The sequence below is a fragment of the Homo sapiens genome, chromosome 1 (genome assembly GCF_000001405.40).
Source record: "Homo sapiens chromosome 1, GRCh38.p14 Primary Assembly".
NCBI classification, from domain to species: domain Eukaryota; kingdom Metazoa; phylum Chordata; class Mammalia; order Primates; family Hominidae; genus Homo; species Homo sapiens.
In genome coordinates, this window is record NC_000001.11 from 107,196,514 (window position 1) to 107,209,342 (window position 12,829).

A 12,829-nucleotide genomic window follows, 5' to 3' on the forward strand; every position below is an offset into this window, starting at 1 on the left:
GATGGACTCGGAGTCCTTGGGTCCTGTCTTCTGTTTAATTCTGCTCTTTGATAGATGTGTGCCTTTGAAAAAATAACACAACCTTTCTCTGCTTCAACTTCCTGTGAGGAGTACAGTAAATGATGACAACATAACACCCAGGCAAGAACTGTTTGTCAAAGGGAAACTAGTTTCTCTATGGAAAAACTGTTATGAGTTTTATTAATAAACTAAGTATGTTGGGTAGAAAAGAAGAGTTCTACCTGCCAATATCAATATGCATTTTAAATTTTAGATAAAATAAAGATAAAAATATTTTATTCTAATTATGGATGATCTGTGTCTTTCAGGACTGTATGTGCATTCTCCCAAATATCAGCTCTAATGTCATATTTTTCTATAATAGTGTCAGACTAAGAGCCTATGAAAACCTTGTCATTCTCGGGCGGGTGTGTGTGTGTGCGCACGTGCATGCATGTTGGGGTTAGGGTTACCAAATAAAATACAGGACAACCAGTTAAGTTTGAATTCATTGTAAACAATGAATATGGTTGTTATACAAGTTTTAGCGTATAAAAGTTTAGTGTAAAACTATTTATTGTTTATGTGAAACATTTTAACTGAGCATGCAGTACTTTTAGTTGCTTAATCTGACCAACCTACAGGGGGCGCTGTATATGTCTGTATGATACCCTTAGGCTTGTGACACAGGAAATGCGGTCTGATTAGTTCTGCAGCCTTAGTTACAAGGGTCAGCTGTGCTGAAACTAGGTAGGTCTCTGCTGGCTTACTGCCACTCCCAAATGCTGCCCTCTACAACAGCCAATTACAGTGTCACCGAGCCTTCTCATTAGACACAATCTAATGAGAAATGGCAAACGTCAATACTTTGGAATTTTGTTCTTTAGAAACTGTGTGGCAGATGAAGCAATTTTTCAACATTTAGTTTCATAATGAAATGATATCTTTGAAGTTCTGCATATTATATAAGAATGGGTTGACAATATTTAGACCCATTGAGTGTTAGATATGGAAGGGTCTTCAGATGCCACCTTGGCTACTCTTTTTATGCTGATAAGGCGACACTCAGAGAGTTCAACAGATTTGTGCAGGACTACATTCTGGCTTGGATGAGATTTTGGCCCTCTGTCTTCAGGCTCCACTGGTTTTCCCTACAGTGTTTCCCCTATGGTGCTCCCTATCTAATCCCTGCCATGACATTAGAATACACATTCACGTAGTGACAGAGTAGGATCCATTTTTCTTTCTCTGTGTGGCACCTTGCCCAGGATCATTTGGATGTATGGATATAATTGATAATCTGGTGCACCATGGTGTGTAAACATTGCCATCCACCTGGCCACTGTTATTTTAAATCATAAGCTCATCTCTATTCACATAATTTTCTATGCATTAAATTGGGTCACTTAATGTGATTATACAAAAATAATGATCCTATTCCCAGGCCCTTATGATAATGCACATTTTTTTCCTATTCTTTGAGGTGCAATGTCAAAGGTAGATTCTAGTGTAACTTTCATCACTACAGCTTATTTAGATATTCTGCATTTTCAATATTTCAGTAAAATTTAAAATGTTCTTGCTTCAGAACAAATTCTAAATAATGTGACACCAACGGGACAATTGGAAATTTAAACAGTGACTTTAACGGTGTTGGAAAAGAATGATGTTTCATTCTTTAGGTGTGATAATGGTGTTGTAGTTACATTTAGAGACACATACTGATATACTTATGGATGTGCTCTTGGCTTGACTTCAAAATTATATTGTGGAAGGAGACAGGATTAAGTAGGGAATGGATCAAACAAGATTACTATTGAGATAATTACTGAAGGTGGATAGTGAGTACATGACAGTTTCATTATACTATGCTGTCTACTTTTGTATATGCTTGAAATTTTCCAGAACAGTAAAAACTGTATCCTTATCTCCAAACTCTAGTCTGCTTATACAAAGACAAAATAAAATTACATCACAGGAAATCAAAGATTTTAATGCCCATCTTTAGTGGGGAGAAATAATATTTGTCCAAAAGTTCAGTACTTGTGTGTCTGCTTCTTTTGTTCCCCTTCGTATTTTTGTGTTTTGGGGAGAGTAAACATGTAAGAGAAAGAACTTAGAACTGGGGACTCAGGGAGTCTAGATTCTAGCAAGTTTCTGCCTTTTGTTAGTTGTGTGACCTCAGGCAAGATACTTAATCTCTTTGGGTCTCAGTTTTCTCATTATGTAAAATGAGAACATTGCACTGTGTGGTTTCATAGGGCGTTTGGCTCTAAAATTGTTTGACTTGATATCACACGCAGGCTTTCCAAATCCCCTGCAAACTTGGCTCATGGAGTGTTTAGTCCTGTATTCTGTCTCTATTAATGGAGCAACGGGCTATATTCTGGGGACAACTGATTTTGACTTAAAGATATTAGGAATGAGACACCGAAATATTTTATGCTTCCCATGAATCTCCTGTGCAGCAATTTATTATTTAGTTTCTTCTGAAATTGCTATTTTTTTTTTGAAATTTTCTAGTCAACAATGAGTTACAGAAATTATTTCTCACTTTGAAAAGTTGAAATTTCTTGATATAGTGCTAAAATAAACTCAAGATTTTAAAAGTGCACCCTTCTTTTAGTAGGCCAAGGTCTTCTTAATAATACCATATATTCTATATATCATTTTATGATTTTATTACCTTCAGTTATCTCCCCAGTTTTCTTAATTCTTTTATGTATTCTCATGTAGCCAGATCTCTTCACCAATTTTATTACTTCTTTTTTTTTTCTATTCCTAATTCTGGAATTTGGCACACATTACATATGTTGTATTTAGGCCATAAAAAAAATGCTATAGTGAGACTTCTGAATATGTGAAGCACAACCTTAGCTCACTGTAGATCTATATCTTTGTAACTTCTACACGAGTATTAAATTGTATTGCAGTCCTATAATCATTGCAAAACATTTGCTTATTAAAAATATGTACTGGATACTACTTTATAGTAATACTAAGTATTATCTCAATGTCACATCAAAATTCATCCATTCAACAAATGTTTAATGAATGTCTTCTAGATGTGTTAATTCTGAAAAGCGATTTCACAGGAAAGAAGGCTTAGAAGAAATTACCAGAGGACACAGATTTCCAATTTTAAACTGATTTATTCATCAGAAAATGTTACTAAGTGACACTTACTTATTCATACACACAGTCCTCCTCTCGCGTAGATACTTCAAAATTACCATAATTAATTCAGAGACCCAACTCTGGTCCTCTTAAAGTAAAGTGACTATTTCAGTGGAAGCTATAATGGAATATCCCTAAGAAATCCATTGTCATCCTTAAAAAATACAAATCCTCTTGGCTTACTCAATGTCTTTGTGATAATCCTTTTTATCAATCAGTAACCTTCTGGACCAGGATTTGTTTGTTTAGTTTCTATGAAGCAGTGATGCTTTTATCTAGAATCTTTCAGCACCAGTTTTTGATCTTCATGGAATCATGGGGTTTTCTCTCAATTTGTTAGAAGTACTAGACATGACAAGTACTATGATTTGTTCCTTCTTTAGCCAGATATGTACTCTAGTGACAATGCCAGATTCTTGGATACTGCTTTTGTAACCATTCCTTTCTTTCACCATAATCTCTGACTGATACATTAGGGTGGGCTCTGTGGTTAGCTACTAATATTAACATTCATTCATTTAGTCATTCATAAACATTCTTTTGGTCATTCACTCTTTGTTAGGTAAGTACAAGAGTGGCAAAGATAATCCTGGCACCCTCCATTTCAAAATAACATGTTTCTTGTTATATAACATTTCTTGTTAATAACAAAATAACATATTAGTGATACTTGGTAGCATATCAACTAATCATATGGTCTGTGGTTGAACTTAAACAGTCTGTGTTCTCTTGATCACAGTGTCTTGAGTTTCTTTTTGAGTCTTTCATAATGTTTTCATGAAGATTCCCATCAGGCTGCAGGGGAACATTAGGGAACATGTGTCCAGGGGAAAGGATTAACCAAATCATTCTCCCTTCTTGGCCAACCCTTTGGAGATTTTCATTGTTGTTGTTTCACCGTCCTTTTAATACTCTTTCATGAGGAATACTTCAAAGCCTTTTTAAAATGAAAAAAATTAGGGTCACTGGTTGCCCTTTGATCATATAGTTCTCTCATTTTCACATAACTGCTTTATGTAAAAGAGGGCTTGATTTTCTATTTGAAAAATCAATTTCCTCCCTGAGCCCCTCCTATTACTCTCCATAGTGACTTTTTATTCATTCATTCAACAAATATTTACCAAATGCTTATTGTGTGTTAGCACTGCATAGATAAAAAACTCAGTAAGTATATTTTTCTTAGGAAAGCTATGACTCAGTTCTTTTCTCTGACCAGCATTATTTTTGTTATTGATATCCCTCCCTTGAATTGTGTTTGCTTCTTATACTGAACATTTACTGTGTTTGTTTCTGTTTGCCCTAGCATTCTAAGCAACACAACGCAATTTTGGGTACTGTAAATTTTTTCAATTTTTTTAAAAATTAAAACTGAAGGAAATAATTCAAATATTCTTCAAGCCATATCTATATTATCCTCAAAAACTTGTACCTTTATTTTTTTAACATTATCCTCTGAATGTATAGTATTAAACTATTCCCTAATTCTCACAGATAATGATGGAGTAAACTTTACTTCTTGGGCAACTATCACTTTTAGGCATGGAGACCAGGGAACTTTGCCTTCCTTTTGTGTATTTGTTCCCAGAATCATCTTCCTAAAGTCCCTGAATTTGTCTCCTGACCACATTTTAAATTGTCCTCAATCTTCCAATCTGAATCTCGCCCTACTCTCGTGCCAACTTGTTAAATAGCCCTTCAGTTCTCACTTGTAATCCTCATATAATTTTCCCTCATTGTGTTACAAGGATTTCTTCTTCATTTCCCTTTTGTCTTATGAATTCCTGTGTTTGGGGAGTGGGTGGTCACTTCTGTGACAAAGGAGAGAAAAGATTGCCAAAGATGTTATCTCTTGTGCCTTTTTTATTTCCTTTGCTCCACACTCTCCATTCTGTATTCTTGATCACATATTGTAGATGATTAGGTTGGGAGGAGAAAGAAAATCAGGTGCATATTTCACATGTCAATTTGCCTAGAACGTATCAAACCTCTTAACTGGTCTTCCAGGCTGTAATTTCTACCCTAGGCAGGCAATTCAGCAGACAGATAACATGTAACCTGTTAAAATGCAATTGTAGTTATTCACACACAGATATTTCTTCAGGCACATTAAATAATGCCTGTTCCCATTTCCTTAACATTCCCTTTATTTACAACTATCCTGATATTCAGTTCATTCTTTAAGGAAGAACTCAAATGCTACTTACTCCATGAAATGATCCTTCACATTTGTAAGAGAATTAATTCCTCTCTCCTCTGTTCTATAGTTTTACTGGATTATTCTGTTATAATTATATAATGTTCCTCTTTATCCCTAATAGTTCTTTTGGCTTTAAATTTTATTTTGTCTTATATTAATATTGCTATAGCTTTATTTTTTGTTTTATATTTTCTTTAGTATTTTACTAGAAGAGTTTTTAAAAAACCTTTTTATTGTTTTGCCTTTTCATGTAATTTTGCTTTAGACATGTCTCATAACTGGACTTCAAAAAAAATCCAATCTGATAGAATTTAATCCATTTATATTTATTGTTATTCTTGGCTGACTTGTACTTTTTCCTATTTTCAAATCTCAGTTTCAACCTTTACTAACTTTGTGATTTGGACTATTTGTTTAACTTATATATATCTTACTTTTGTCATCTGGAAAATGTTGGTTATAATAGTATCTACCTAATTGTAAAGAATCAGTCAGTTAATGTACGTAAAATACTTTAAATGGTGCATAGCATTTAGCTATGTGATAGCACTGTGTAATAGCACAGTGAATGCTATTACTACCACCACTGCCAGTACTACTACTACTATTTTACCTTGTTTTCTAAGACCTTATTTATTTTATTTCTTTGTTTGCTTTTTATAATTTCCTGACTCACTGTAGAAAAACTTTTCTACTCTTTTTTCCCTTTCTACTGGATTGAAACTATAAATTTTAGTCCACTGTTTTATTGGTTACAATTATTTTTGTTTATTTTTAAATTTACTTACAGTAGCATTCATCCATTTGGTGTACAATTCTATGAGTTGCAATGCATGCACAGATTCTTGTAACTATCACCACAATCAGAATTCTAAACAATTCCAAATGCACTATTTTCTCCTGCTGACCTCCGTAGTCAGACCTCCTACTACCCCTAAAATCTGGCAATCACTGATCTGTTTTCTGTCTCAAAAGTTTTCCCTTTTTCATCTAAATGTAATAATAGAGTATGTAATATTTTGAGATTGTGTTCTTTTACCTAGAAAAATGTCTTTGAGATGAATCTATATGGAGATCTATTACATTTTAATGATAAAAATTTTTACCAAAATTTAAAATTATTTAATATATCCACACTTTTTAAATGAAAAGATCTTAGCTATATGTACACACACTGACCCTCCATTCTTCTGTTTTTCTTCTTATTGTTGTCTAGAATTTTAATTCTACTTTTAAAAACATAATGTTTCTTTGTTTTTCAGGTAATTGAATGTAGCAAGAATGTTCTTTAATTCTTTCAGTCACTCATTTTTTTTTCATCTTTTGACCCCTTTGTATTTACTATTTTTCTTACTGATGCACATTCCTTAATAGTTTTTTCATCAAGGGTCTGTGAGTAGTAATTTCTCTTACTCTTTGTCTGAAAATGTCTTTTTTTTTGCTGTTTCTTCAGTGTCAAATGATAGTATACCTTGAGATAGAATTCCAGATTGACAGTTTTCTTTCCATTTTCAGAAGATATTTTCTATTGTTTCCTAGTCATATTGCTACTAATGAAAATTTATTGCCAATTTTGTCAATTTTATTTTTTGTAGATAAGCAGTTATTCTTTCTGGGAAGTTTATATATATGAATATATAGTTATATGTATAGTTATTCTTATAGAGTTATTCATATATATAGTTACTGTGTGTGTGTGTGTGTATATATATACACATATATATAGCTATTCTTCATTCAGTTTCACTAAATTCTACTGAAGTATTGTTTTATGTTTGGTTTTTCAACTTGACCTTTGTTTTATACTTTTAATCTAAGAATATCTATTTTTATTCAGACTTGGAATTTTTTATCTATTCCCTTTACTCTATACTTTGAATTTTTTTAAGTATACTTGAGAGTCTTAACTGGCATTTTATGTCTCTTAATTGCTTTTTTATGTATTTTAAAATATCTTTATCTTTTTGCATTGCATTTTAGGTGAATTTATCAATACTACATTTCAGTTCACTAATTCTTATCATTGACTCTTACTAGTTTAAAGTTTATTCCACTAACTTTATTTTAAAAAATTAAACCTTTATTTGTAATATTCAAGATTTCTAATCTACTTACTCTTCTTAGCTATTTGTATTTCATAGTATATGGTTCTATTTTTTTTCCATATTATTGCTTCTCTGTATCTTTTTGAAAATCCTTAAGGTTTTTATACTGAAGTTGTTACCAAGATGTTTCTGTTTTGTTTTGTTTTGTTTTTCCCCCTCTGGAATACATTTATTTCCCACTTGTTGATTTCTTTGATTACAACTTTTAGCATTAAATTTTCTTTACTGTTTTGGAGTTTTGGTTTGATATAGCAGATTAGTTGATGCTATTTCCGTTGAGTCACGACTGTGAATCCCTGTCTCTTCTTTAATTTGATGGAATTTCTAACTATTTTTTAACAACAGACAATGGTGGAACTGACACTGCATCAGTTTCTGGATACTTCTTATCTCTTGTATCAGTCACTTTAGAGCCTTAAACTGAGACTTGAGAAGTTTCACTACCATGTGAATGACCACATGGAAAGACCCTGAGACTTCACAGAGAGGGAGTGGGGCCTAGCTGATCCCAACCTTCCAGCCATCTCTGCCAGGGAACCAGGCATGTGAGCGAATCTGTCTCTGACCCTTCATATCACCCCAGCCACCATCTGAATACAATCAAGGATAATAATTGATACCAGGTGAAGCAGAAGAATCACTCAGCTGAAACCTGTTGAAATTCCTGATCCACAAAATTATAAGATAGAATGAAATGGTAATTGTTTTAAGCCATTAAAGTTTTAGGGTGTTTTGTTACTTAGCAACAGACAACAGAAATGGGGTTTTATCTTGAATCTGACTGTTTCCCTGCCTCCTACCCGCACCCCTGCAATCTCTGTACATACCCTTCTTGACTACTGGTTTTGGGATGCTTCACTAAATTTCCCCATTCCTCAGTCCAGAACTAAGGCTTAGAGCTCCTATTGAGAGCAGGTGATACGGGAGTTACTGCAGATTGGAGTCACTGAGCTAAAAGCATCTTGGTCCAGTTCCTCACTTACATGAAGCACCTCCACTATCATCCCTTCCCTCTGCCAGAGCCTCAGGAAATCTTTAGAGTGAGAACCTGGAAGTAAAGCACATGAAAATGTGGAGCTCCACTAGGACTTTGACCCCAGAAGTGTCTCACTCTCATTTAATTCACACTCAACCTCCAAAAATTCACACTCAACCTCCAAATTCAAGCTACTTCGAAGTTTCAACCTCCAAAAATTCAATAATCCATTTTAAATGTTTCTATGAGTCTATGGCTTCAGAGTTTATAGCTTCAGAGACTTCTGCTCCAGGTATGTAGATCTAGGCTGTGTCTCTTGGATATGCCTGTCTCCCCAAATTTCAGGGTGATGGTTTGCTATACAGCCTCAGTTCTCTGATGGGTCCAAGAAAAGTCAGTGATTTTCAACTTATCCAGCGTTTCCTTGTAAGGATGACAGTGATGACTTCCAAGTACCTTGCCTGTCCGAGCTCAAGCCAGAAATTAGTTATGGCTTTTTTATTTTAAATTTTCATAATTTTTATAAGTATATATTATTGTTAAAAGTTTGGACCAGGATGCAGAACCTCCAAGTGTGAAATCACAATTCCGCCTCTACCACAAATCCTGAATATTTTCTTTACAATTCTTTTTCAGTGTATAAAGCAGACTTTTTTTTTAAAAAAAACTATATAATCCGTCTAACATACACGCAGAAATGTGCCCCATCCTAAGTATACAGAACAATGAATTTTCACAAACTGAAAGTCACCAGTACAACTGGCACCCAGGTAAAGAATCAGAACATTACCACACTCCCAGGAACACCTCTCATGCCCTCTTCAACTGCCCTTTCAACTTTACTAATTGCCCCCACTCCCAAAAGACAACTACTATTTTGACTTCTTATAGCATATGCTAGTTTGGCTTGTTTTTGAACTTATACGTGGAATTGTACAGTATGTGCTCTTTCGTATCTGACTTGTTGGGTTTAATGTTAGGTTTTAAAATTAATCTGCATTATTGTATATAGTTCATTCTCATTGCTCACTGTGACAATTTATCTGTCCATTCTAAAGTGTATGAAGATTTTCATAGTTTCCAGGGCTGCTGAAACTTTCTAGTACATATTTTTGATGAATATATATGTGTGTTTCTATTAGGTGTATACCTTGGAGAAGTCTAATTGCTGGGTCATAATGTATGCATACTTTCAGCTTTCGTGGACACTGAAAAAAAAGTAATTTTCTGCATGGCTGTCCCTGTCCTCCTTCACTCCCTCATTTCCCTATCCCATCAACACTACCCAGAATGTATGAAATTTCTAGCTGCCCCATATCCTCATGAACATTTGATATTTTGCGTCTTTTTCTCTTTTGCTGTTTCTAAAGTGTATAGTGGTGTTTCACTGTGGTTTTAATTTTATTTTCCCTATGGGTAATAATGTTGAGCATCTTTTTACGTTTACTGGCCCTTTGAGCATGCCATCCATTATGATGGACTTTTAGTCAAGTCTATCTTTCTAGCTAGACTGGGAGGTCTTTCTAGGCAGGGTTCTTATCATTACCTTTGCATCTCTCAAAATCTGCCATGATGTTCTTCTCATGTGCCTTTCACCCAGTGTTACGGAGATGTCTGCTTAACTGAATGAACATATAAAACATATAGGGTCCACTTTTATATCCCAAGCTGCACTTAGGAGCCACCACAAGGATTATTCCTGAAAAATCAAATATGTAAGTTTTAGATTTTACAAATTTAAAAGATCTTAAGTAAATATTTATTCAGTGCCTAGTATATATTGGGTTTTGTGTGAAGCTGTGTTGGTGGAGGGCTTATGAGTGAATCAGAGACAATTCTTTTACTCATGGAGCATTTAGACCATGGGCCGGCCTAGATTAAGTGCTGGTTTTGAACGAGCCCGCCTTTAATATAAGACCTCGATGTATATTCCGCCATCTCGCTGGTGCAGTTGGATGGGAAGAAGCTGATGTATAGTACTTTAAGTATATGAACATGGAAGCTACTTTGAAATTTCATCTTGTGAGATTTCTGCCTAGTAATTTTCTAAAAGGAAAAAAAATTAAGATTTTTCACTGATACTTTTTTCAAAAGTGGTGTGAAGTGTGTTTCGGAGATGAAAACATCCAATTACTTGGTTCCTAATTTCTCAGCTATCCTAGACAGTCTCAAGTGTCACTGTGGGTTTTGTTAAAGAAATTCTCTTCCCAGTCTGACACAGCTTTGTTATCCTCTATAATAGCAGAGCTGTGACCTCCACCCTGAGGAAACACTCTTCCTGGCACTAACTATGACACCTAGAGATTTCATTTTGCCTCAAACACTTTCCTATTTTCCTCCCATAACTGTGAAAAACTCCTCTGTGGAATCAGGTACTTTATGCAGTAGGTACACACACTGAAAAAATGACTTTCAGACTGTGGACAGCCACCTCCCAAAGGAAAAATACTGTAGCTGTGAAGGTGATGGCACAAAGCCAGTTTCTCCATGGTGCTTAGTGAGAGATCCCATTGTGTACTTATTTGCTTTTTTAAAGGTATCTTCATTCTGCTTTTCTCTTCTAATCAACTTCTGCTACAGAAAGTAAAGAGAAAAATGAACCCTTCCATGGAGAAACTACATTATGTTTAGTACCTAAGGTATAAAGGGTGGCTGTTGTTTTCTTGTTTTCATCATATTCAAAATGATTCAAAACTTTTCACCTATTGAAGATGAGGTGACATATGTATCTCAACAGTTATGATGATTCACGTGCCCATTTCTTCACTCTGTGCTCTGTGAAGTGATAAGAGATACTTTCGTAGCTCATGTTTCATGGAACTTGTGCCTGTAAACTATTTTAGGATTTCTGGCCTAATGCACTTTCCCTCAATGATAGTTAAAATTCCGTGGGAAGGTTTCCACATGCCATGGACTTAAACATGTCCTAGCAGCCACAGCATGGCAGCTGAACTTTCTTCTCCTTCCACCCTGTCTCTGGTTCCAGTGACTCGCTACCAGGGACTCGTACTCACAGAAGAATGTTTTCTACAGGGAACCATTGTCCCTGTCCCCCTCCTCTTCATCATGATCGTGGAAACAGAGCTGATGCTGAAGTGCTCAAGGCGTCGAAGGCATGTGTGTTCCCTTGAGACACCAGCACATTAAGTTCATATCTGATTCATGCAGAAATGGAGGGAGGGTGGGCATGGTGGCTCATGCCTGTAATCCCAGCACTTTGAGAGGCCAAGACGGGCTGATCACCAGAGGCTGGGAGTTTGAGACCAGCCTGACCAACATGGAGAAACCCCCGTCTCTACTAAAAATACAAAATTAGCTGGGTGTGGTGGCGCAGGCCTGTAATCCCAGCTACTCAGGAGGCTGAGGCAGGAGAATCACTTGAACCTGGAAGGCGGAGGTTGCAGTGAGCCATGATCACACCACTGCACTCCAGCCTGGGCAACAAGAGCCAAACATCATCTCAAAAAAAAAAAAAAGAAAGAAAGAAAGAAAGAAAAGAAATGGAGGGAATACTTCTTTGCTTGCTTCTCTGTTAATCTTTTTCTTTATCAAATATGTCCCCAAGCAACACACCTACGCCCCATGTCTCACTGAGTTTCTAATGAAGGAACTCTTTCGTTTTCCATCTGTTGTCCCTGTCCCCAGAGGCCTGGCAGGGAGAAATATGCAAGTGACCAGCACCACACTGCACTTAGAATCATCTCCCACTTCCAGTGACCAAGGCATTGTCCTTGGGTTAGGCATGTATCCCCTACTCTCCCTTCCCTTAGCTGGAGTCCCTCCCAGAGGGTGCCTCAGTTTCTCAGGAGAGTGGTCTTTTGTGGGGGCTTACCTTCCAGTTCAGCTGACTGAAATGTCTACCTTCAACCACGCTCACAGCTTCCATATGCCTTTTTTCTGGGACTTCACCACCACTACTGCCCTCAAAGCCCTGACCACATGCCACAGTATTTATTTGTGAGATTACTTGTCTCGTTGGTAAATACAGCTAGTTAGAAAACATCCTTAGTTATCCATTATCCAAACAAATACAGCTCAAGTTTTGTATTTTGTGTTCATGAGCTTCTTTATGTGGTTTCTGAGATTCCAGATTCCTTTGATACTTTTTCAAACCTTCTGCTTGCCTTTTTTTTCTGAGCTGCATTTTCTATTTCCTTACCTCGTTTAACTGCAAATACCCCATAGCATTTGAGTCCTTGCTTTTCTACTCTGTCCTGACCTCATCTGAAACCTCCTTACCTATTGCTTTGATTACCACAATGTGGTAATTACACTATGTGGATCTCTTTTGATCAGTCACAGATTTGACTTTTTTTGGTCTATTCAAGTAATGTTTTTCCAGACACCACTATGTGCCAAGAGCTGTAGTCATGA

At 35.9% G+C, this 12,829-nt stretch overlaps 1 protein-coding gene across 18 annotated transcripts in view, besides 1 other annotated feature; it reads left to right on the plus strand.

Moving 5' to 3' along the window:
• Nucleotides 1–12,829, plus strand: part of NTNG1 (netrin G1) — a 344,836-nt gene that overhangs the window by 56,426 nt on the left and 275,581 nt on the right. The window lies entirely within an intron of this gene.
• Nucleotides 638–687: a silencer, noted in NCBI's record as "silent region_1131". NCBI's record gives its function as "represses an Ori minimal core promoter by ATAC-STARR-seq in GM12878 lymphoblastoid cells {active_cell/tissue: GM12878}" and the evidence as "EXISTENCE:reporter gene assay evidence [ECO:0000049][PMID:35858748]".